Source organism: Homo sapiens, chromosome 4 (genome assembly GCF_000001405.40).
Source record: "Homo sapiens chromosome 4, GRCh38.p14 Primary Assembly".
Lineage (NCBI taxonomy): Eukaryota > Metazoa > Chordata > Mammalia > Primates > Hominidae > Homo > Homo sapiens.
The window spans coordinates 61,198,833-61,220,368 of record NC_000004.12 but is presented as its reverse complement, the minus strand read 5'-3'; the positions used below and the strand labels follow the sequence as shown (position 1 = coordinate 61,220,368).

General features: G+C 39.9%; 2 protein-coding genes and 1 pseudogene across 40 annotated transcripts in view, besides 1 other annotated feature; all 3 read right to left on the bottom strand.

Moving 5' to 3' along the window:
- ADGRL3 (adhesion G protein-coupled receptor L3) overlaps window positions 1-20,043 on the bottom strand; it is an 878,010-nt gene extending 857,967 nt beyond the window's left edge. For 31 of the 39 annotated variants that reach the window (NM_001387552.1, NM_001322402.3, NM_001387522.1 and 28 more), the window contains exon 1: window positions 18,604-20,043. The gene's annotated coding sequence lies outside the window, so the exon portion shown is untranslated. Of the gene's footprint in view, window positions 1-17,627; window positions 18,198-18,603 lie in introns of those variants that run through there. The other 8 variants (NM_001387539.1, NM_001387532.1, XM_047449940.1 and 5 more) reach the window with 2 other exon arrangements.
- LOC124900173 (uncharacterized) overlaps window positions 1-21,282 on the bottom strand; it is a 74,900-nt gene extending 53,618 nt beyond the window's left edge. Inside the window, exons 1-2 of the mRNA XM_047416555.1 lie at window positions 21,195-21,282; window positions 18,604-20,227 (exon numbers count right to left, since the gene is read on the bottom strand). Coding sequence (XP_047272511.1) covers window positions 19,053-20,227; window positions 21,195-21,282 — 1,263 coding nt within the window. The 3' untranslated portion in view covers window positions 18,604-19,052. The remainder of the gene's footprint in view (window positions 1-18,603; window positions 20,228-21,194) is intronic.
- On the bottom strand, window positions 8,169-8,717 carry RPL17P19 (ribosomal protein L17 pseudogene 19; annotated as a pseudogene).
- Window positions 17,325-17,897: an enhancer, noted in NCBI's record as "H3K4me1 hESC enhancer chr4:62068190-62068762 (GRCh37/hg19 assembly coordinates)". NCBI's record gives its function as "activates a minimal SCP1, AML or CMV promoter by ChIP-STARR-seq in naive H9 embryonic stem cells {active_cell/tissue: H9 hESC(naive)}" and the evidence as "EXISTENCE:reporter gene assay evidence [ECO:0000049][PMID:30033119]".

Below are 21,536 nucleotides of genomic sequence, written 5' to 3'. Positions count from 1 at the left end.
GATTCTAAAGCTCATGTTCTAAATCACTAAGTATCATGAGACAAACAAGTTATTAGAGCTTGTCCTATTACCTTTTTAAATCATACAAGACACATTTCACGTATGACGTTTCATCTAATATACTAAGCCCCTACCTTCGAAAAAAATCAAATCTCATTTTCATAACCAAATACTCTAGCTTATGAAAAGACTAAAAGAAGTTCCAGCCATGGATGACTTTGTATTTTCTTTTTCTTTTCTTTTTTTTTTTTTTTTTGAGACAGATTTTTGCTCTTGTCGCCCAGGCTGGAGTGCAATGGCGCACGCAATCTCAGCTCAATGCAACCTCCGCCCCCCAGGTTCAAGCGATTCTCCTGCCTCAGCCTCCCGAGTGGCTGTGGTTACAGGCGCCCGCCACCACGCCCGCCTAATTTTTGCATTTTTAGTAGAGGCGGGGTTTCACCATGTTGTCCAGGTTTGTCTCAAACTCCTGACCTCAGGTGATCAGCCCGCCTTGGCCTCCGAAAGTGCTGTGATTACAGGCGTGAGCCACTGCACCTGGCAGATGACTTTATATTTTCAGAGGTTTGAAACAGGAAGAGAAATAATCGAAAGTCATGGCAGAATGTCAGAAATGCCATAAGAGAGAGATGACAAAGAGCAATGATGAGTTAGAGGGCAGAACACGGGGAAAATAAAATATTTACATTATTAATGAAAAGCATAAAAGCTGAACTGTTTCATAAGTTCTTAAACAATACAGTCAACTATTTTGCATCTGTCACTCAGAATATTAAACCACTGTTCTAAGAAAAATGTACTATTCTCTTTTCAGGTATCATCGAAACAGGAATTCCCTGACTTCAGTAATGAGTATTTATAAATAAATCACTATAAACAAAATGAAAGATCTTTGTGGTTTCAACCTTCTTAATTAAATTAAATGCAGTTTCAACATCTGGCTTTATGGTTTTCATACAGCATTTAAAATACAAACATATTAAAAATTCTAGTTACGTTACAGGTCTTCAGAGAATGGCTTTTAACTTTCAGGTAAAAAATAAATCCAGATTAAACAACTGGATACAGAATAATTGCAACCATATCTTATACAGGTAGATCAGTAAAAAACAGTAACAAAGTTTAGATGAGGTCATTTAACCAATGATCACCATCTCATTTAGGTCCTCCATATCCTTATAATCTAATTAGAGTACAGCATAGTATAGTCAAAATGGGTACTATGCAATGCAGACCACTTCTTTACACATGAATCAGCTGAGGCCAGAAAGAAGCAGGATCTATCCTTTGCTGCTTAGCTGAGAAGCAGTAGGGCAGTGGCTTAGACTCTCATGTAACTGGTCTCTCCACAGCCCCCCTTGATGCCTCCTCCAATTATGTCTACATAGAGCAGCCAATATAATATTTTTAAAATGAAAATCTGATCTTATTACCTTGTTAAAACCTTTCATGGCTTCCCATTGCTCCTAAGATAAAAATCCCAAAATACTTAACCTTATAAAATGTTACAAATTCTGGACTACTACTTACTAGCCAGATCTCATACCATTTCTCTCAATCCTTATGTTCCAGGTTCTCTAACCTCTGAGTTCCTCACAAGAACTGAGCTCCTTTCTTTAAGCCTTGAAACAGGAGGTTCCCTTCTTCAGGAAGGTGCTGCTTGACCAGTTCATAAAATGCAGTATTTTTTCTGTTTAATCTTTATCACAATTGTGTTTAACTGTGTCGCATGAGAAGCACTCAAGCTGGGCACACTAGTGGCTTATGCCACCAGCACTTTGGGAGGCCAAGGTGGGTGGGTAACTTGAGCTCAGGAGTTTGAAGCCAGCCCAGGCAACTAAGCAAGATCTCGTCTCTACTTAAAAAAATAAAAAATAAAAAATAAAAAAAAAGTAGCTGGGCATGGTGGTGCACACCTGTAGTCCCAGCTACTCGTGAGGCTGAGGTAGGAGGATCCGTTCTGTTAGGAGGTCGAGGCTGCAGTGAGCCATAATCGTGCTGCTGCACTCCAGCCTGGGTGACAGAGCAAGACGCTGTCTCCAAAAAAAAAAAGAAGCACTTAATAATATTTCTTGATAAATGAATGAAAACGATTAATGATTCTAAATATAGTATCTTCTATTATAGGACTCTTCCTCTTTTAAAAATTTGAATTCACTAAGTTGCTTTTCCTAAACCACACTTACTTAACATTTTGCCCAAAGACTCTTAAACAAAAAACATTTTTAAAACATACTTCACTATTATTTTATTAGTATTAAATAATTTGTTCCAAATAATTAAGAAATAATCTTTATCATTACATACTGTAGAAAGTCCCCCCAAATTTAAATAATAACCTTAATCCCAGCAGTGAAAAGAAGACAAAGTCTACTGTCTTTACTAAACAATAATACCACAGTTTCCTTAACAATTGTTTTCCAGATTGATATTTTACTGCTATTCTTTGACAAACAGAGTCATAACCACAGCCTTGTCTTTAGCACTGGTATTCCTAAAGCTGGCTCCTCTATTTCTACAGCGTTTCTCAGGGACAAAAGATACCAGGTACTTAATAAGTCAATGGGGATGGGAAAAAATAAGGGTAAGAATGAGTAGGAACCAACCTTCTGGAGTAAAACTCTCCTCGTCACAATACAAACAGATACATATCTCCAAAGCTAAACTCTGAAATCTTCATTTCAATATTTGTATAGAACTTACCTATTCCTGCTCAACTCAAATCTTCAGTGCCTGACCACCGTTTATGGTCAACAGAGAGTTTATTTTCTGGCATCCTGAAATTTAATATTAAAGCTAGACAAGTGATATTAAAACATTCTCTACGTTAACTCACTTTCTCTGTAAAAGGAAAACTTCAGATTTGTTTTCTCTATTGCCACATCAAGGCATCAATGTTCAGTTTTCCTCTCTGTACTCAGCTCTATTAACCTCCTCCACCAGAACATGCTTGGGTCTGTGATGAGCTCTTCTGATGACAGAAAGTGAAGAGAGCACATTCTCTAGGGCTGCCTAGTCAACCTTCCTATCTCAGTTCACATGTCACTGGCTCTGGGAAGTCTTTTCAGATCCCACTCACCACCCAGCTCAGGCAAGGTCTGATTCTGCTGCTAAACTCTCAAGCATCCTGGACTTGTCTTCTGTAGCACTTACCACAATTTTAACTATAACTAATTAATGAGGGATACATTGCTTAATTCCTCTTTATTTCCATGATTTTGCATGTGCCATAAAGCCAGAGGCTCTTTCTGCCATGTTATGCTCCATATCCCCTGCACCCTGCAGACATCTAGTGCTAACAAATAAATAGTGAATTATAAAATTAATGATTTAATGAAGCTAGTCTTTTGGGAACTGCAGAAAAATAGCAGAACAATTTAAAGACCCACTTAGGAAAAGGTATCAGCTTCAACAACAAATTGATGAAAAATTAACACAAATAATAAAATGTATTGGGTGCTTATACAAATCTAGACAGTGTGCAATAAGTTTTATGTGCATTACCTCATTTAATCCTCACAATAACTCTGAAAGGTAGGTATTATTTTTATCCTTTTCAACACATGAAGAAATGAGGCACGGAGAAGTGAAGTAACTTTTCCAGTGTGACATAGAGGAAAGGTTTGAAATCATGCTTTTACGACTCCTTTGCCCTCTACTTTTCCTCTTTGATTTTCATTCATGCATATATATTTTTATTACTGCAATTGGTACTTTTCTATTTGTGTGTTTATTAAGCCCAGTAAAGATCATTTCATTAATGTAGAACTAAATACAATTTAATGTTGAACTTTATAATAAATTGTAATAATTTTACATAAATAAATTCAGCCATAAGAAAAAAAAAGGAGTAAAATGGGGACACTGAGAATTCTACACTCAAGGTATACACTTCTGCTTTATAAATGAAGAAAAGTTGAAACTGCCTTGATACAAGGTAACACTGCTATGGGCCTAAAGCTCTGAATCTCAAAAGTATTTAATATAAACATTAAAAAAAAGCTGAGATAAAAAACTATACCAAATCCTAAAATCATTTATTAGGAACAAAACGTATTACTATCCTTAATAATAGAGAAATATGATAAAAATATATCAGACTCCTTAATGGTTTCAAATCATGCAAAACATCTTCATTATGTCACTTTCTCTTTAAGCCATCACAAAAAGATAGTCTAATCTATTTCGTCTTTTTAAAATATGCTATTACCACATGCAATACTGAGCCTTAGCTCTTAACGAAGGAAGAAACGTAAAAATTCTTACAACATCAACTACCTATTCAGTTTTTTTGAAAAGCTCAACTTGCAAGCAGAAGCATTCTAATAAGCCTTACCATTTTATTTTATCCCATGGATATTTTAGGGAAAAAGGACCACCCACCATCCTATCTTCTACTTACAGATGAAATAGACCTACAGAAGTTACATGACTAATTCGATACAAGTTAAGAGAGTGATAACATCATTCCTGAAATCAGAAATGAGAACTCTCAAGGGCAAGACTAAGAAATTCCAGGCCGAGCGCGGTGGCTCATGCCTGTAATCCCAGCACTTTGGGAGGCCGAGGCGGATGGATCACGAGGTCAGGAGATCGACACCATCCTGGCTAACACGGCGAAACCCCGTCTCCATTAAAAATACAAAAAAATAAACCGGGCGTGGTGGCGGGCGCCTGCAGTCCCAGCTACTCAGGAGGCTGAGGCAGGAGAATGGCGTGAACCCGGGAGGCGGAGCTTGCAGGGAGCCGAGATCGGGCCACTGCACTCCAACCTGAGAAGCAGAGCGAGACTCCATCTCAAAAAAAAAAAAAAAAAAAAAAAAAAAATTCCATAATAGAAGGCAGCATGTGCTACAAAACTGCCATGTAACTTTGGGCAAGTTACTTCAACTCTTGACAATATATTTTTAAGGAAACTAAAACCCAGGAGAGTCTGGCTTTCAAGATTCCTTCTGTACCTTTCTTTATTTCACATGCATGTACAGAGCAATTTTCAATGGCACTTAAATTTATCTTGCAACAGTAACTTCAAAAACTGCTTTCATGTTCACTTGTTTTTTCTAGGTCCATAAAGCACATTCATGCAGTTATACAATCATTTATTTATCAAGCATTAAACTCTGTCCCATAAATATGTTCTGGTGCAGATTTAAACAAAATATTGATACTGAAAGTAGAATATGTTTCCACTCTGACTGCTAGAAATGTATCGTAAATATGTCTGTACAATTGGAAGCAGAAGTCTCAAAGATATTGTTTAAAGTCTCTCAGAACAAAGAATGAACTACAATGAAATCAAATTCAGTAGGTACCAGCATTACTGGAAAATTGATTTCAAATTGCATTATCCACCTGCTGTTTTCCTCTTTAATTTTACCTGACTACTGGACATTTCACATTATGTATCTATTTTTATTGATTTTTTTTTTAATAGTCAAGGTCTCACTCTGTAGCCCAGGCTGGAGTGCCGTGGCGTGATGATGACTCACTGCAGCCTGGAACTCCCCAGCTCAAGGGATCCTCCAGCCTCAGTCTCCTGAGGAGCTGGAACTATGGGCATGCACCCTAATGCCTGCTTAATTTTTTAATTATTTTTATAGAGATAGGGTATAACAATGTTGCCCAGATTAGTCACCGACTCCTGGGTTCAAGCGATTCTCCTGCCTCAGCCTCCCAAAGTACCGGGATTATAGGCATGAGCCACAGCATCCAGCCTGTACCTAACTCTTATTCCTACAGACAGATCTCTAACTGAGGTTACACCTAGCAAAACTTGTGTTCATGTTTACTCATTATAAGCCAAAATGTTCTGTTTAATTACTTTTCTGACCCATCTACTTTTATAGACAAACTTCATTTATTTTAAATGCATTGACTGATAATTTGCTCCTACTTTTCATACTTAAATTTTAGAACAATAATCCAAACCACCATTTGTTTTTGTTCCATAAGAAGTACGGTAAAGAAAAAGTTTTATTAAGTTGATACTTTAGATGAACTTAAGAGATACGAGGTCCGTTCAAGAGCAGTGAAAGAAACTAAGAATATTTATGGAAATATTAGACACATGGTGGACTCAATTCTTCATGGAGAAAATTCACTGTATGGTTTTGTTTTAGTAATATGTTAAATTCAAAGACATGAGGCATAGCTTTACTTAAATATTAATAACCAGTAAATTTGCATTTTTGATTATTTTACTGACCTCTGCTTTTATATATTGGTGTATGTGCAGCTGAGCATTAGTAATTCTTAAGAATAACCAAAGAGTTAGTAAAAGTTACTATACATATATACATAGTAGAACTATACATAACCAAGAATTAGTAGCTATGAACAATACACAACTGAGAGTTAACAATTCTTAAGAAAGAGTTTCCAAAACTTTCAGAGGACCAGTTATACAGAAGGCAATGATGCATCTGGATCTGTAACCAAGTAGAAAAAGTCAAATGATTATTTACTCTTTGATCTAGTAATTATACTTCAAGGAATCTGTACTAGAGAAAAAAATTAGAGAACAGGCCAAGCTTTCAGCACTCGGATATTCATGATGACACCACTTATTCTAGCAACAAATGACAACCCACATGAATAAGTAAATGTTTAAATAAATCATAGTATGTCTACATTACGAAATATTTTATGATACTTAATGCTTTCAAAAAAATAATGGCATTGAGAAATTGGAGATAACTATACAAACTATATATGGTTTAATCTCATTTCCATTAAACACACACAATACAGATGCAGATAATCAAAGCAAAAATTAAGTATGACATAATCTCTGTGAACACAGTGGTATGCCAGTATGTTATGTTATGTTGAGTGATTTCACTTTTAACTTTACGTATCTCTGTATTTTAAAAGTGTTCAACGTAAGCATGTACTATAATCAGAAAAAAAATTTAAATATGATCTTCAGAATGTACAATTAGCTATACTAGGAAGAAAGATTGGGAATCAAAATTCAGCCATTACCAGCACCCAAGTAGAATGGAAAAAGCACGCACAAATGATGTATGTGGAGGAAAAATTCATTCCAGAGTAACTTCTACTGAGCCAAAAGAGAGTAGCCGGCAAGGAATTAACATAGAAGGACTGCTAAAATAAAACATATGGACTAACACAGTGTCCTCTGACATTGATACTATGAGTCCCTCATACAGACTGTTCATTCATTTGTAATAAAGTAGGTTAATTTCTCATATATAAATCTAATGCTTTCTTTCATACCCCATTACTTCTGTTGTTGTTGTTGCTCTAGCTCAACATCCCCTAAATTCAAGGAAGAAAACACACATACACATACCATTGTTATCTCACTATCATCTATTATTCAAGAAAGGTCTCATTGAATAAATGTCTGTTCAGAGGCTCTAAGCAAATTTCATTTCTGAACACTACTGTCTGCAGCCCAGCAGGCTATTTCACCAAGATAAGATCACACATTTAATCAAACGCACCAGAAAAAGAAATACTCGCAAAAGTTTGCTTAATAACATCAAATCATAAAAAAAAATGTTGACAGCATACTAATTTTTAGTGTTCCTTCTTCTTTGAGGATTTGCAATAGTAAGGAAGGTCATTGTACATAAGATTTCTGCTAATTAGGCCTTCTACTAACCTTTAAAAATTCTTCCAAATTATCTTCATATGTTACTACTTATATTGAGTTGGTACTTTCAAATGAAAATGAAAACTCAACATAACTTTCTTTTTTGAATACATGAAAAGTAAAATAATAAATTTAGGAGTATTCCAAACAATACATATAATAGCTTTAAGGCACCTCAGCTGGTCAAGTGTCATCATTAATATTCAGTCTCTGGTTTTGGTAATAATGAGCCCATATTAGATGTCTATCATTTGAAAAATACTACTGGATACACTGAAGTATATTTTCTTTGGATGCTTTAGGCAATTATAAAGTTATCCATGCTCAATTATCTGAAATATCTTACTTGATATAGTTTTGAATACTCTGCCTCTAAACAGAAGGTTTACTTGAATAAACATATATTCTCATCAGAAGAATGATATAATGAGTGAGTACACAGCAAGTGTAAAATAATTAGATGTCTCAAACAGATGGATGGATACATAACTACAAACTCACTTTTTCTGGTTTTACTTCTATTTGCATTTATTTTATGCTGTATTTGTTCCTATGCCATAAGTTTTTTTTCTTCAGTTTCTTCTGGCATAACTTTTTCTTCTGTGCAATCTCCACTTCTGGTTTTAGAACAATTTGTTCTTTTTCAGTAATGTGGCAAGCAAAGCTCATACATGGGTTAATTCAACCATGAGCACTATCAGATGTCACATCTTGGGGATTTTGTTCATCTGAATGTACTCAATGCCTAGACGGTCTATATTTAAACCTTGAAGATCAGCATTATTCTCTGCATTTTTAAGCATGTGCAGGAAAAAATCCAGCTCTCTTTGTGCCAGCAAACCTGTGTCCAGCTCTCCCATCTGGCATTGTACATTGTCATTGTACAGTGGCTCTACCACTGTAGGATAGAAATGGCACACTGCTTCTGTAAAGGGACATCTTTCAGATATTTGGTGGCTTCTCATATATACAGAGCCTAGATGTCTTGAGCAGTTTTATAGATAACTTGGGTGCTCTTGAAATGAACCTGAAGATTTGAACCCCTTGATTTGCATAATTTTGTTGGGTTTTGTTGGTGAAGTGAGTAAGGAACCATTTTCTAAGATCACTCTGGCCTCTTACAGGAAAAGGGTAAACCCATTTTCAATGATTTTCCTAACCAATTCTTCTAACACCTGACTTGTCCCAGTTATTAAATAACTATTCAGATACTATCAGCACCTCTTTCTTTTTGTGTGAACAACATCCCTCTCTTAATTGAGCCTTTTCTTCTTCAAGCTAACTATCCATTCGTCCACAGAGGAACTGCAATATTCTTACTGCCTCCACGAAGCTGATGACAGTAGATCAGTATAAGTCTGAGAACTTAATTTAGACTGTGGGAAAGGGAATGAATCCAGCAGTCAGAGAAAAAGAAAACTGGTAGGCTGGGTAGGGGCATGGAACTGAGGCAGAAGGCTAGAGGTATCCAATTTTTCCTGATACCTAAGTAAAACTTCACTCTTTCCCAAGAATCTTTAGGTGAGAAACACAATAACTTCCCAATAAATTAATCAGCTCAGCAGAAAGCTAGCTGGAGGCGTCTTTGCAATTAAAAGAGAAATAGTGAAAACACCCATTCTATTAAATATTTTAAGTTAAATTGAAGTACATATAACTTAGATACTATCATAAAATTGCACCATTGTAGAATGACCGTAAAATAATATTTAAACTTCATACATAAAAATTGTTAGGAATCAAAGTGAAAACTAATTGAAATTGCCTAAACCTCAAAAGATGATTGTATATAATTTTTTTAAATGGCTGCCTAGCTCTTCCTCCAAAGTCAACTACAGTTAATAATATAATTAAAACTCCTTAGACAACATCAACCGAACATTTAAAGCCAATATAAATAAAGGCTATAGATACACACATGCCTTGTGTTAACAGAAAATGATTTCTCAATAGGTTCTTTGTCCACGCCTTGAAGTCATGATCAGTATTCTGAGTCAAGGTTCAAACAACAACCATAAGCCATTGACAAATCAAGAACACTGAAAATTTGAAAAAACAAAAGGTGTTAATGAAAAACAGTTGAACCCTTCCATTCTTGCCAGAAATAAAATCTCATACAAAAAGATGACCATCAGTCAGAACCATTTCCTTTTATTCAAAAGTCTTTGGAAGAGTTTGAGAAAAAGGAAATGGGGAAGGGGGAAACAAACCAAATCAAAACAAAACAGGAGACTGTTGAAAACCCTCTTACAGGGTCAGCGTCAATGGAATGCATTTTAGTATTCAGGTTACCCACCCAAGCAGAACATCAAAAACTGGGCTTGAGTCTCTCCTCTATTCTCACAGGCTCAGGCTACTGTGGAGCCACTGGGGCTGTCCTGAATAGTAACACACTCTGCCTCTGCGGGATGCGTAAACACCAACACAAGCTGATCAAACAGGAGGGAGTGTCGTTTCTACTTGGCTTTCAATTCCTTGAGTCATACTTTAAAACACCTAATTCTGGTACAATTTAGCAAGCCAGTTGTCCAGTCCAATGTGCAGTTTACTTTTTCATTCATTTTTACCACCTACTATATCATATCCTTTCCTTTTCAGTATACATGCTGGATAATTATGGTAAAAGTCACACATTTTAATAACTTCTCTTATTGGCACTGTAACTGAAATACATATGTCAATTCTAAAATTTCAACTCATTTATGAGCCTTTCAAAAGTTTTAGTCTTTAAAGCAATTTTGGGGTCTGAATTTTATAGGTTTATCTCATTTATGGCATTCTTATGAGACTTAAAATCTGGGATTATAAATCTTTTAAAAATATGAAAATCCTGATATCTTCGACGTTTATGATGACTTCATATGGTTACAGCATTATAGAAAATTCTGATGCAGTTAAAGCTTAAAGAATGATTGACATGTGAAAAGATAATAGGGCATTTAATTTAAAACATCTTAAATTGTTGCTTTCATTTTATACCTAATTTAAAGTCAATCTTCGGACACAGTATTTGGTGGATGTCAAAAATATTTTTCTGTCAGGATTATAATTTTTGATGGGGAATTAGTAGCAGAGCATAACATTTTAAGATGAAGAAGAGCTCAGAAATAAGTACTTAAAAGGTTAAAAAAGGACAGAGGGAAAGAACATAGTAAAGATAAATACAAGACTTGAACCTTTCTCAACTACTTAAGAAAATGCTATTGATTTTCCTAGCTCATCAAGAACTCTTCAATTAAGAAAATGATATTTGATTTAGCTACGTTTTCTTAATAATGGTACTCAAGGACATTTCTAATAATACTATGACTAATAACAAAAGGTACTATGCATGAAGTATTCACTCCACCAGGTACTTTTATATTTACTTCCTATTACTCTACTCAAACCAGCAATGTAAACTTTATTATCTCTATTTTGCAGATAGAGATGACAGAGCCAGAAACTTGCACATTTGGGGTTGTATTCAAGTGACTCTCAGTCCAAAGACCATTTCTGAGAAGCTCATAATTAAAAACACTGCCCAGCTATGCCTATCTATGGAGTATAATTTAATTTCTACAACACTAAATCAGAATTGACCAAAGTTCTGGAAGGAAATAAGTGCTATAGCACTAATTTCATAGTGATAGGCTGGGTCAGAAATTAGCCATAGAATATACCCCCAAAATGTATATAACTTATAAATACATCTATAACTTAAAGTTCTTAAATAGTTGCCAAAGTCTCATTTAAAAGTATTACACAGTTCTCCAATTAAACTTTAGTATCTAGTAAAGGTAATCGGAATGTATAGCTTCTTTCACTAGACATACGACCACTCACAAACAGACTGAACTACAGTATATAATTACCCCAAGGATCCTTTGCACTGAAAATGGCTTGTTGTGGTGCTTAGATAGTGATTAACAGATTAAGAGTATAGTGAGTCATCTTGATATCACTTCAGAAAAGTGATTTCCTCTCTAATAATTCCCAAGATATATAAATATTCAATTGGGGTCTTTGAAATCTAGTTTTAATTGGGCATTCACATTCACTATCAAACTTCAAACTTAGCTCAAGCTAACAAAGGTGTTTTATTAATTCTTCCTCTAAAAAATGCTAATAACCCTTCATGAGTTCTAAAGTGTGAGAGTAAAATAAAGTCGATTATCTTTTATATGAAATTTTAAAATTTACTAACATTTTAAGACATACTCTATAATGGTGTGAAATATAATTATGTATCTGAATCACATGGGGAATTGATTAAAGTTTCCTAGGACTCTCATGAGACCCAATAATAATGATGATGATAGTAATCATAATAGCAGCAAACAATTATGTTATTATTATGCACCAGGAACTGTTTTAAGGACTCTGCATAGATTTACCAATTAAATCTTCATAATCTTCTGTGAATTTGGTACAATTGTTAAATCCATTAAAAATACCAGGAAATTAAAGCATAGAGAGATCAGGTATCTTGACACAAATCCAATAGCTTATTCAACCTAGGCAAACACACTCCAGAGTCCCTTTCTGTTCATCTCTACACCACTCTGCCTTTCTAGATATCAAAATATCTTGATCTAGGGCCTAGATCCAGATATTTTCCCCTTGACTCCTTTGTAGCCTTCCCAAGAGCAGTCAGCAGATCAGGCTGCATATCTGCTGCTTTAAAGTTTCCATTTCACTAAATGGGGACAAAAAATCTAAAAACAAGTTTTCTACACTGGATTATTTGGAAATAGAATAATGAAAATGCCAAATAATTAATAACTATATCCAACCTGCCTATCTTTTTACAGGTTGGACATCTAATCATTTTCTCATCCTACATGGCTCTTTATGTGGCTGGATGGATGGCATTTTAGAGCACAAGGAGGCAGATCTCAGAAAAATCTACCTGAGCCATTCTCAGACTTTCTGGCCCAGGACTCTTTTATACTCTTAAAAATTAATGACCTACATTAGAGAAATGCAAATCAAAACCACAATGAGAGACCATCTCATGACAGTTAGAATGGTGATCATTAAAAAGTCAGAAAACAATAGGTGCTGGAGAGGATATGGAGAAATAGGAATGCTTTTACACTGTTGGTAGGAGTGTAAATTAGTTCAACCATTGTGGAAGATGGTGTCGTGATTCCTCAAGGATCTACAACTAGCAGTACCATTTGACCCAGCAATCTCATTACTGGGTATATACCCAAAGGATTATAAATCATTCTACTATAAAGACACATGCACATGTATGTTTACTGTGGCACTGTTCACAATGGCAAAGACTTGGAACCAACCCAAATGCCAATCAATGATAGACTGGATAAAGAAAATGTGGCACATATACACCATGGAATACTATGCAGCCATAAAGAGGGATGAGTTCATGTCCTTTGCAGGGACATGGATGAAGCTGAAAACCATCATTCTCAGCAAACTAACACAGGAACAGAAAACCAAACACTACATGTTCTCACTCATAAGTTGGAGTTGAACAATGAGAACACATGGACACAGGGAGGGGAACATCATACACCTGGGCCTGTTGCAGGGTGGAGGCTAGGGGAGGGATAGCATTAGGAGAAATACCTAATGTAGATGATGGGTTGATGGGTGCAGCAAACCACCATGGCACGTGTATACCTGTGTAACAAACCTGCACATCTGCACATGTATTCCAGAATTTAAAAGTATAATAATAATAATAATAATAAATGACCTAAAGTGACTTCATGTTTTTATTTTATTTTATTTATTTATTTATTTATTTATTTTTTGAGACACAGTCTTGGTCTGTGGACCAGGCTGGAGTGCAGTGACACGATCTTGGCTCACTGCAACCTCTACCTCCTGGGTTCCAGCGATTCTCCTGCTTCAAGCCTCCCGAATAGCTGGGACTACAGGCATGTACCACCATGCCCGGCTAATTTTTGTATTTTTAGTAGAGACAGGGTTTCACCATGTTGGTCAGGTTGGTCTCAAACTCCTTACTTCAAGTGATCTGCCCATCTCAGCCTCCCAAAGTGCTAGGATTAGAGGTGTAAGCCACTGCACTCAGCCTCTAAAATGACTTTTGATTATGATATCTGTAACTGTCACCATTCAAGTATTGATAAACTGGGAAAATTCTAAAACTTGAGAATACATAAGAACATATGACATATGCCATCAGAGCAATGATGCCATCACATATCATATACCTTCTGGAAAACTCCACTGAACACGTGTTAAAGAATATGAGTGAAAGGCAAATAATGTCTTAGCATTATTATAAAAAGGTTTTCTTTTCACATTTCCTCTGAAAGGGTGTCAGAGATCCCCAGGGTTCCCCAGAGGACACTTTGAAAACACTGATAAAACAGCATTGTTTGCTTTACAAAGTAACTGACATGGAAGTTTTGCCAGGCAGAAACATTCAGTTGGATGATTTATTTTTCCATCCCAAAAATAGTTTTCAAAATAAGTAGGATTACCATCCACAATATTCCATTTAAATTCTTGAATAATATGGACCAAATTTTCACTTCTTTTAACACCTATTTGTAATCACTTTTATGAAGACATTCATTAAAATTGAAACTAAGTTCCTGTTTTAAGTGTCAATAAGACATAAGGAAGACATGATTTATCAAGGTCTATAGAACCTATTATGAGCAAATATAGAAACGCTCCCCTTTTATCCACCCCTCAAAATAAATAAAGAAGTTCAATTAATTTCAAGTAGGACAGCTATTTTCTCTTTTACATTTTGTGCTTATGAATCCATAAGCACATGTCACAATTCTAAGAAAAAAGTTACACTTGGTTTCTTATGCAGCAGTAGAATTAATTTTATTGGACCATGCTGACACTCAGATCAGAGTAATGACATTCAAGATTTGGGGAAAAACTTGCACACCTTAGATGCATAAATGCTATTTACAAGCATGCTCACGCTACATTCTCACAATGTATTACAATGAATGAAAAATCTGGATTTTTCTCTCCATTGATCAACAACTCCCTAGCCTTCACCCTACCCTACCCGACAAAACACAGAAAGATAACCAAGGAAAAATGTCAGGAGGACCTTACTCATACTTGCAAGTTTTACTTTTTATTTAATTATAAAATTGGTTATTCTATGAAGAAATGCATTCGCATGAAATAAGAAGACATAAATATAATAATCTAAGTGTAAATATGTCCTGTGGGCAAACAAATAATAAATTACAATACAGCTGTATTCTTTAGGGTTCCTCCCAAAGTGAGCAAATGCATATTTTGAATATAATGCAAATCTAGGAAAGAGAAGGCAAAATAGCCATTTGCAAAACTTAAGGACAGATCATCCTTTTTAAATTCCAACTACTCTAGCCATTCACACCATGCTAAATTAAGGCTGCACAGCATTTCTTAAAATCACTGTTTGATCCTAAATATGAAAATCGCAATCAGTTTTCCTTGCTGATTTCTGGGCCAAAACTCCCCACTTCTAACAGTAACTGTCACTTCTACTTGGCAGTCCTTTTCAAAGAGAGTTTCAACCAACACTTAAAGTGGTCCAAATCCAATCTGAAAAACAATTCAGTTTTGCATCATATTATTTGACTAACTTCAATCCTCATGACTTTATAGTCTTTTTAATCTACTATTTATGATTTCCTTGGCTATAGCTCACAAAGGAATCAATGGTAAATCAAATCCATAAAAAAAATCTGCCTTTCCTAATTAGTAGAAACAATGCCAGCCACAGTAGCTGCAGCCAGTAAGTGCCATACTTGCTATTATTCCCTGTGGAAAAGAGTATTTAAATCTGCAAAATGTTAAGAAGATCATGATTAAGAAAATCATTTCTGAAAGACTTTCCATTCATATTTTTGAGGAGCACTCTCAGTCTGAAGGATAATCACACCAAGCAACCAAAAATGAGACATCAAAAGCATTTACCCATCAGGCAAATCACATACTGGCTTATCACTCTTCAGGCCGGGGATGCCTGATGCAGCCTAACATCTCTATCTAAAAAAAAAAATTAATAGTTCATATAAAACTTTGAGTTAATCATTCCTCCTACCCTGATTTTGTAGAAATAGTCTAGTCAACCATATACACAAATAGATCAGGTTACTGAATACTTAGTGATAAGGAAGAGCTATGGAATGGCATTCAAATACTCTGACACATTCACCTTCAGCTAAAGACAGCACAATACACTGACACACACAGTTCTAATGACATCAGGACCTGTGGAATGTATGACTGCTAGGGAACACATGCTGCTAGGAAACAAAGAACAGATCTGATCAAATCTTATAATGTAAGGACTGGGAATCATTGTGATTAGATCTTGGAAAATGGGAGGACAAGTATTCTTTAATCCTCAGAAATATTTGCAAGTATAAAGACTTTAATACGTATCATCTAGAAATGAAACAAATACGTGAAGCTAGATTCTCATGAATTAAATCAAAATTTTCTAAGTTTTCTATTAGGGTGATGGCCATTAGCAATATCTCTCATAAAAATATAACTTAAAGTCAGGCATCAGTGATTCAGTGTCTTTTGCAATCTATGCTTTTTCAAGAGGTCAAGGTCTTTAAAAAATAATGAAGATATCCAGAAATTATTGTACCTAAAAATAAAGTACACTGTTCCATTAACAGCCCTATACTTTTTAAAACAAAATAGAGCACAAGTATTTGCAACAAACACCAAAGCAGTCAGAGCTAATCTAGACCTAAGGAATTTAATACATTTTAATTATTGAAAGTAAAAAGCAGTTTCACTTGCAAAAGTAACACTTTATAAACTGTGTTTATCTATGTACAGTCTTTACCCTTGCTTTGGTTACAAAAAAAAAAAGATTGGGTGAAACAAAGCTGAGAGATAATTCAACACACAAATATCCTCTTAACTCCTATACAAATTATCTGGTATCCTATTTTGGTGATTATAAAAGAGCTGAGAATTCTATCCTATTTGTAATCCACATGCAGATAAATTGGGCGCCAGAAGTCCAGATCATTTAGAATCATTACAGATGGAAAAATATACAAAAGAAATCTTACCAAACTCTGTTTATTCTCATAGGGAAATATAGGAAAGTCTCCAAATGAAAAAGTGCTAAAGAAGTGTTTCTTTGCAGATTCTACGATGACATTCTTTAACTAGTGATGAAAGCCCATATGACACTAAAATTAGCAGACTGCCTATTTACTTCAGAGCAAAACACAGAAGGCAATTTTTCCTTCCTGCCAGAGTCTATGCGTCTCCTCATTTCCCCAGCAGCTGGCTGGAAGGATGTAAAATCAGAGGTGCAAGAAGCCTTATACTTCCTAATGAGTAATACAACCAGGAAAGTAAACACAACAGACGACAGCAGGTTAGACTCTAAAGGAGACTGTGGCAGGAGTGCTTACACCGTTGTTTACAATGTGCTCTAACTACCGCAGGCAGGGATCACACGCAGACACAGGGAGGAGACACCCTGGAGGTGGCTCGCAAGCCTCGAGTTCTCCCAACTGCTATGATATCTCTGGCCATAAATAAAAGCAGCGCATGTTTCTATCAGAGGTAGGAAAGTGGCCAGAGAATTCCAGGGACCAGGAGTTACGCTGGCTGGACTCGATTACTTCAACCTGCTGGAGAGATGACTACCCTATGAGGTTCTCATCAGGGCCATTCTGGGGTGCATCGAGCGCTGCACCAGCGACTCTCACGCGCCGCACGCATGTCGCCGAGCTGCGCCTCTCCAGGGGAAGGGGACACGGCAAGGTTTCCTCGCCACCCTGCGGGGGCCCCCGTGGCCTCCTCAAACCAGATTTTCCAGTTAAGAGGATCCCAGGCGATTTCAATAAGCAAGCTCAGCTCCAGCAGCATCAGCTCCGGCATCCCCGCAAATATCTCTCTGCCGTCCCTGGGGCGCAAAAATGCGCACACACTCAAACGCTGACTCCGCCGCCAAGTAAGGCTGGTAGAGGAGGTCGCCCCCACCCCTACACACCACACACACACGCACAGACACACACACACCCACCTATAGTGCTGGGGGCCTGGCACCCTAAGCTTCTGAGCTCCGACGTGGGACCGGAGGCTGGGTCGCGGCAGCTCAGACGCTGCGCTGCAGCCTGGAGCCTTCCCTTCTCCTCAGAGAAGCGCCGAGGTGCCTTCTCTCCTACCTGTAACCCGCCAACCGCGACCACCAATGCTCTGCCCACCCCGCCCCGGCGCCGCGGCCGCCCGGATTCGTGCAACACCGCCGCCCCCCGCCCAGTGCCCACTACCAGCACAGCGCAGCCCGGGCCACCCACGAAAGTGGCAGCTTTCTCCAGCCAAAACCGCCTAACAAAGCCTGGGCACGCAGGTCTAAACCAAACTGCCGTGAAGGAGACACAACAGGCAGGGCGCGGGGAGGCAGCGCGACTCCAAGACTCAGGGGCGCGACCTGGGCAAAAGGGGCCAGGGATGCTCCAGGCAAGCGTTGAGGGAGAATCGCGCCGGGCTCGGCACCCTGCATTTTCCATCTTCCCAGAGCCCAGCTTCTCACCCAGACCCTGTCCGTCCTCCAGCCCGCTCCCGCCTCCAGCGGCACCAGTTCCAGCCTGACGGAGAAAAGTCGCCCTCCTGTCCGCTTTCTGCCCCCACCAGGGGATGCCACTGGGGTGAGAGGAGAGGGAAAATTAACGGGGTGGGAACTGTTCCTATTCCCCAGCGTGTGCAGCTGCGAATGCGCCCAGTCTCTTATCCCCCTCACTCCCCTCGGCCGGTCAAATCGCCCAATGGCTGGAAAAAACTCCAACCCGCGCCAGACCCGAGCGCCCACCAGCCAGGAGGTTCCCTTCCCGCCCCGCACCACGACCGGATGAGTGTGTGTGTGTGTGAGGGCGAGTGTGTGAGTGGAAGGGCGAGTGTGCATGCACCCCGCACCCCCTCTTGTTGCCCGCCCGGTGGATGCCGCCGCCTGCGCCCGGCCAGGGCGACCCCTATTATGAAGAGTGCGAAGAATAAATTACCTTTCGTAAACGCCGGTCCCTGAGATCGTCCCATCAGTTGCTCAACAACCTGAAGGCGGGTGCAGTTTCCACAATCCAGCCATTGAGCCCGGGGCAAAAGACCGGCCGGCCCCTGTGCAGACACCCCCAACCACACGCGGCAAATAACGAGAATCGAAGCGCAGAGAAAGCAGCAGGAGGGTGGAGACCCCAGTCAAGGAAACAACAACAAAAAGTCTCTCTTCCCTTTCTTCCGCTACACAGCCACGGAGAAAGGGGAAGGAAAAAGAGAGCCAAATGTTCGCCTTCCTTTACGTTCCTCGCTTCACACACCCCAAGGGGGCAAAAGGGGAGCGAAAAGAAAAGAGGGTTCAAATGTCTCTCCCAGTCCACAGTTGCACAACTTCGGAGTCAGGCTCTGTCTCCAGCAGCAGCCGAGGGACCCAGCGGCAGCTATTAACATGCGGCAGTCATAGCTGGGGCTGCTTCTCCTTCTCTTGCTGCTGCTGCTGCCGCCGCCGCTTAAGAAAAGACGCTGCCGAAGAGACCAAAAATCTTCCACCATCCCCCCAGCCGATCTTTATATCCAGTTCTCCCACCCCACCCCCCTTCTCTTTCTTTTTCTTCTTCCACGTCCTCCCCTTTCCGCCTCGGAGCGGGAGCGATGGAATAGGTAGGGGGAGCCGCGAGGGCCAGGGGTGGCTTCTCCGCCAAACCGTCCTCCTCTTCGTCCTCCCGAGGCTCTCTCCCAGCCGAGGGTCCCCTCTCAAGCCCGCAACCTCCGCGGACAGCCGGAGCGAGAGCCACACAAACTCCTTCCCCGGTGCACGGAGGGGGCGCGCAGACAGAGCGGGCGCCCGGCCGCCGAGGGCTGCGTCCCGGGGGCCGGCGAACCCCGAGCCCGTGGGGTGGATGATTAGCTCGCCGGCCGGGCCGGGCAGCTGCGGGCATGTGGGAGCTTCATCGCGCGGCCCCGGGCTCTGCGCCGCCGCCGCTGTCTCTTCGGTTCTTTCTCTTCTTCGACTCCCCAAGAGCGAGCGAGGCACTGGCGCTCTCCAGACACGCACACTCACACACGCGCACACACGAGCGAGCTCCTGCCAAAGCAAACCGTGCAACCCGCGCGCGCGCACACCCGTAGGAAGAGGACCAAGGCAAAAAGAGAAGAAAGAAAGGGGAGGGGGCGAGTCACAGGCGGCGGTGGCGGCGGCAGCAGCTGCCGGAGCGGAGGCAACGAGCAGTCCGAGAAAAACCAGCAGCAGCGGCGGCGGCGGCGGCGGCGGCGCCCACCCCGACCAGCTGCAGCATCTGCATCCCCGCTCCTGGGAACTGGAGCGAGCGGTGCCGGGCCAGCAGGCGAGGGGGGCGACGCGCAGACAGCGGGTCAGAGCGCGGGCGCGCGGGGACCGTGCAGCCTGCGCGCGGGGTAGGCGCAGCCGGGGCCGGAGCGGAGGCCAGAATGAGCAGCGGTCGGGCGGGCCAGCGGCAAGAGCTCCGAGAGCCGGGGAGGGGGCTCGCGCCAGGGAAAGGGGTGGCCGGCAAAACCCGGATATGGAGTGCTCGTGGGCTCCGCGGCGCGGGCTCCACCTAGCAGTTCGGCAAACGCTTGGAGGTGGGAACGGGAGGGCTGCTACTAGAGGCTTCCCTTTCAGGGTTTGTCAGACAAAGGGTACCTCTCCAGTGGCTTCGAGGCCCGCCTCGGCGCTCGCTCTCCCTCTCTCTCTCTCTCTCTCATTCTTTCTCTCTCTCTCTCTTCCACTTCCTCCTCTGTCCCTCCCTCCCTCTCTCCCCCTCCCACTCTCCATCACCTCCCTCCCCCCTTTCTCCTCTTGTCTTCCTCTCCCACTCCACCCTAGGTGAGTAAACGACATCAGCTTGAAAGTCCTGCCAGTGTCTCATTTTTTCAGGTGCGGATTATTCCGTATTTTCATTATGCAAGTACCGAGTCTGAAAATGTTTCCTGCCTTTGGTCAATTTTATGTTCCTTCAAACTTAACTCGACCTGCAAGTTCATTGCACGGTTTAAAGTATCCCTGTCTGATGAACAATCGTGGAGATTCAATTATCTTATTTCACATCATCAATGGAAATTACCATAATGGATACAGAAAGGTGCGGATTCCAAAACCATGCCTTCTGACAGAGGAAAAGTCTGGTCAAGTTAAATGAGTGGCCTTGGTCAATTGCTGAACCTTTTGGTGCCTTCTTTGTAAAGGAGACTGTTGATTACATAATTTGTAAGGTCTTTTCCTGCTCTAAAATGTCGTGATTTCAAATGGCTAAGATGTTATTTTCTATACCAGTACACTCAAATCATTAAGATTTATCATATTCATTCAACAAGCACATTACATCCCTAGCTAAATTTCCCAAATTGTATTTCAATGTATACATTTAGAATGACCTAACGACTTCTAGGAGCTCTTTAAGAGGTAACATCAATCCTAGCATATCTGAAGAACCTGAAACCTCATTAGAATTAAAAACATACCCAACACAAAGTGACAGTTAAAATGTCATTCATTCTTTAAAGCTCAACTCCAATCCAACGTTCTCCAAGAAGCCTCTTCTCACCAAGACTCCTTCCCCAAAAATCACTCCTTTCATGATACCCTGTAACATTTTGATGACATCTCCTCTAACACCTATTTTATTCTGCCTTTTTCCTTGTTCCTTTTTAATCATTAATGGTTTGTCCATTTGCTTCTTCAGATTACAGTTTTTCTTGAATGCAAATGGCTAGTTTTAATCATCTGTATAAGGAAAGATTATATCTACAGTCCTTTGCGCATAGTTAGTCCTTTAAAAAAATTGGGGGTGGGAAGGGAGATTTAATGATATTGCTGAATTCTGACCAACTAGATGTTCACAAGCTGAAGTTATGCTACTTGAATTTGCTTAATACAGGACATCCATGAACTCCCCTGGGTACTTAAAGAAAATACAAATTGACA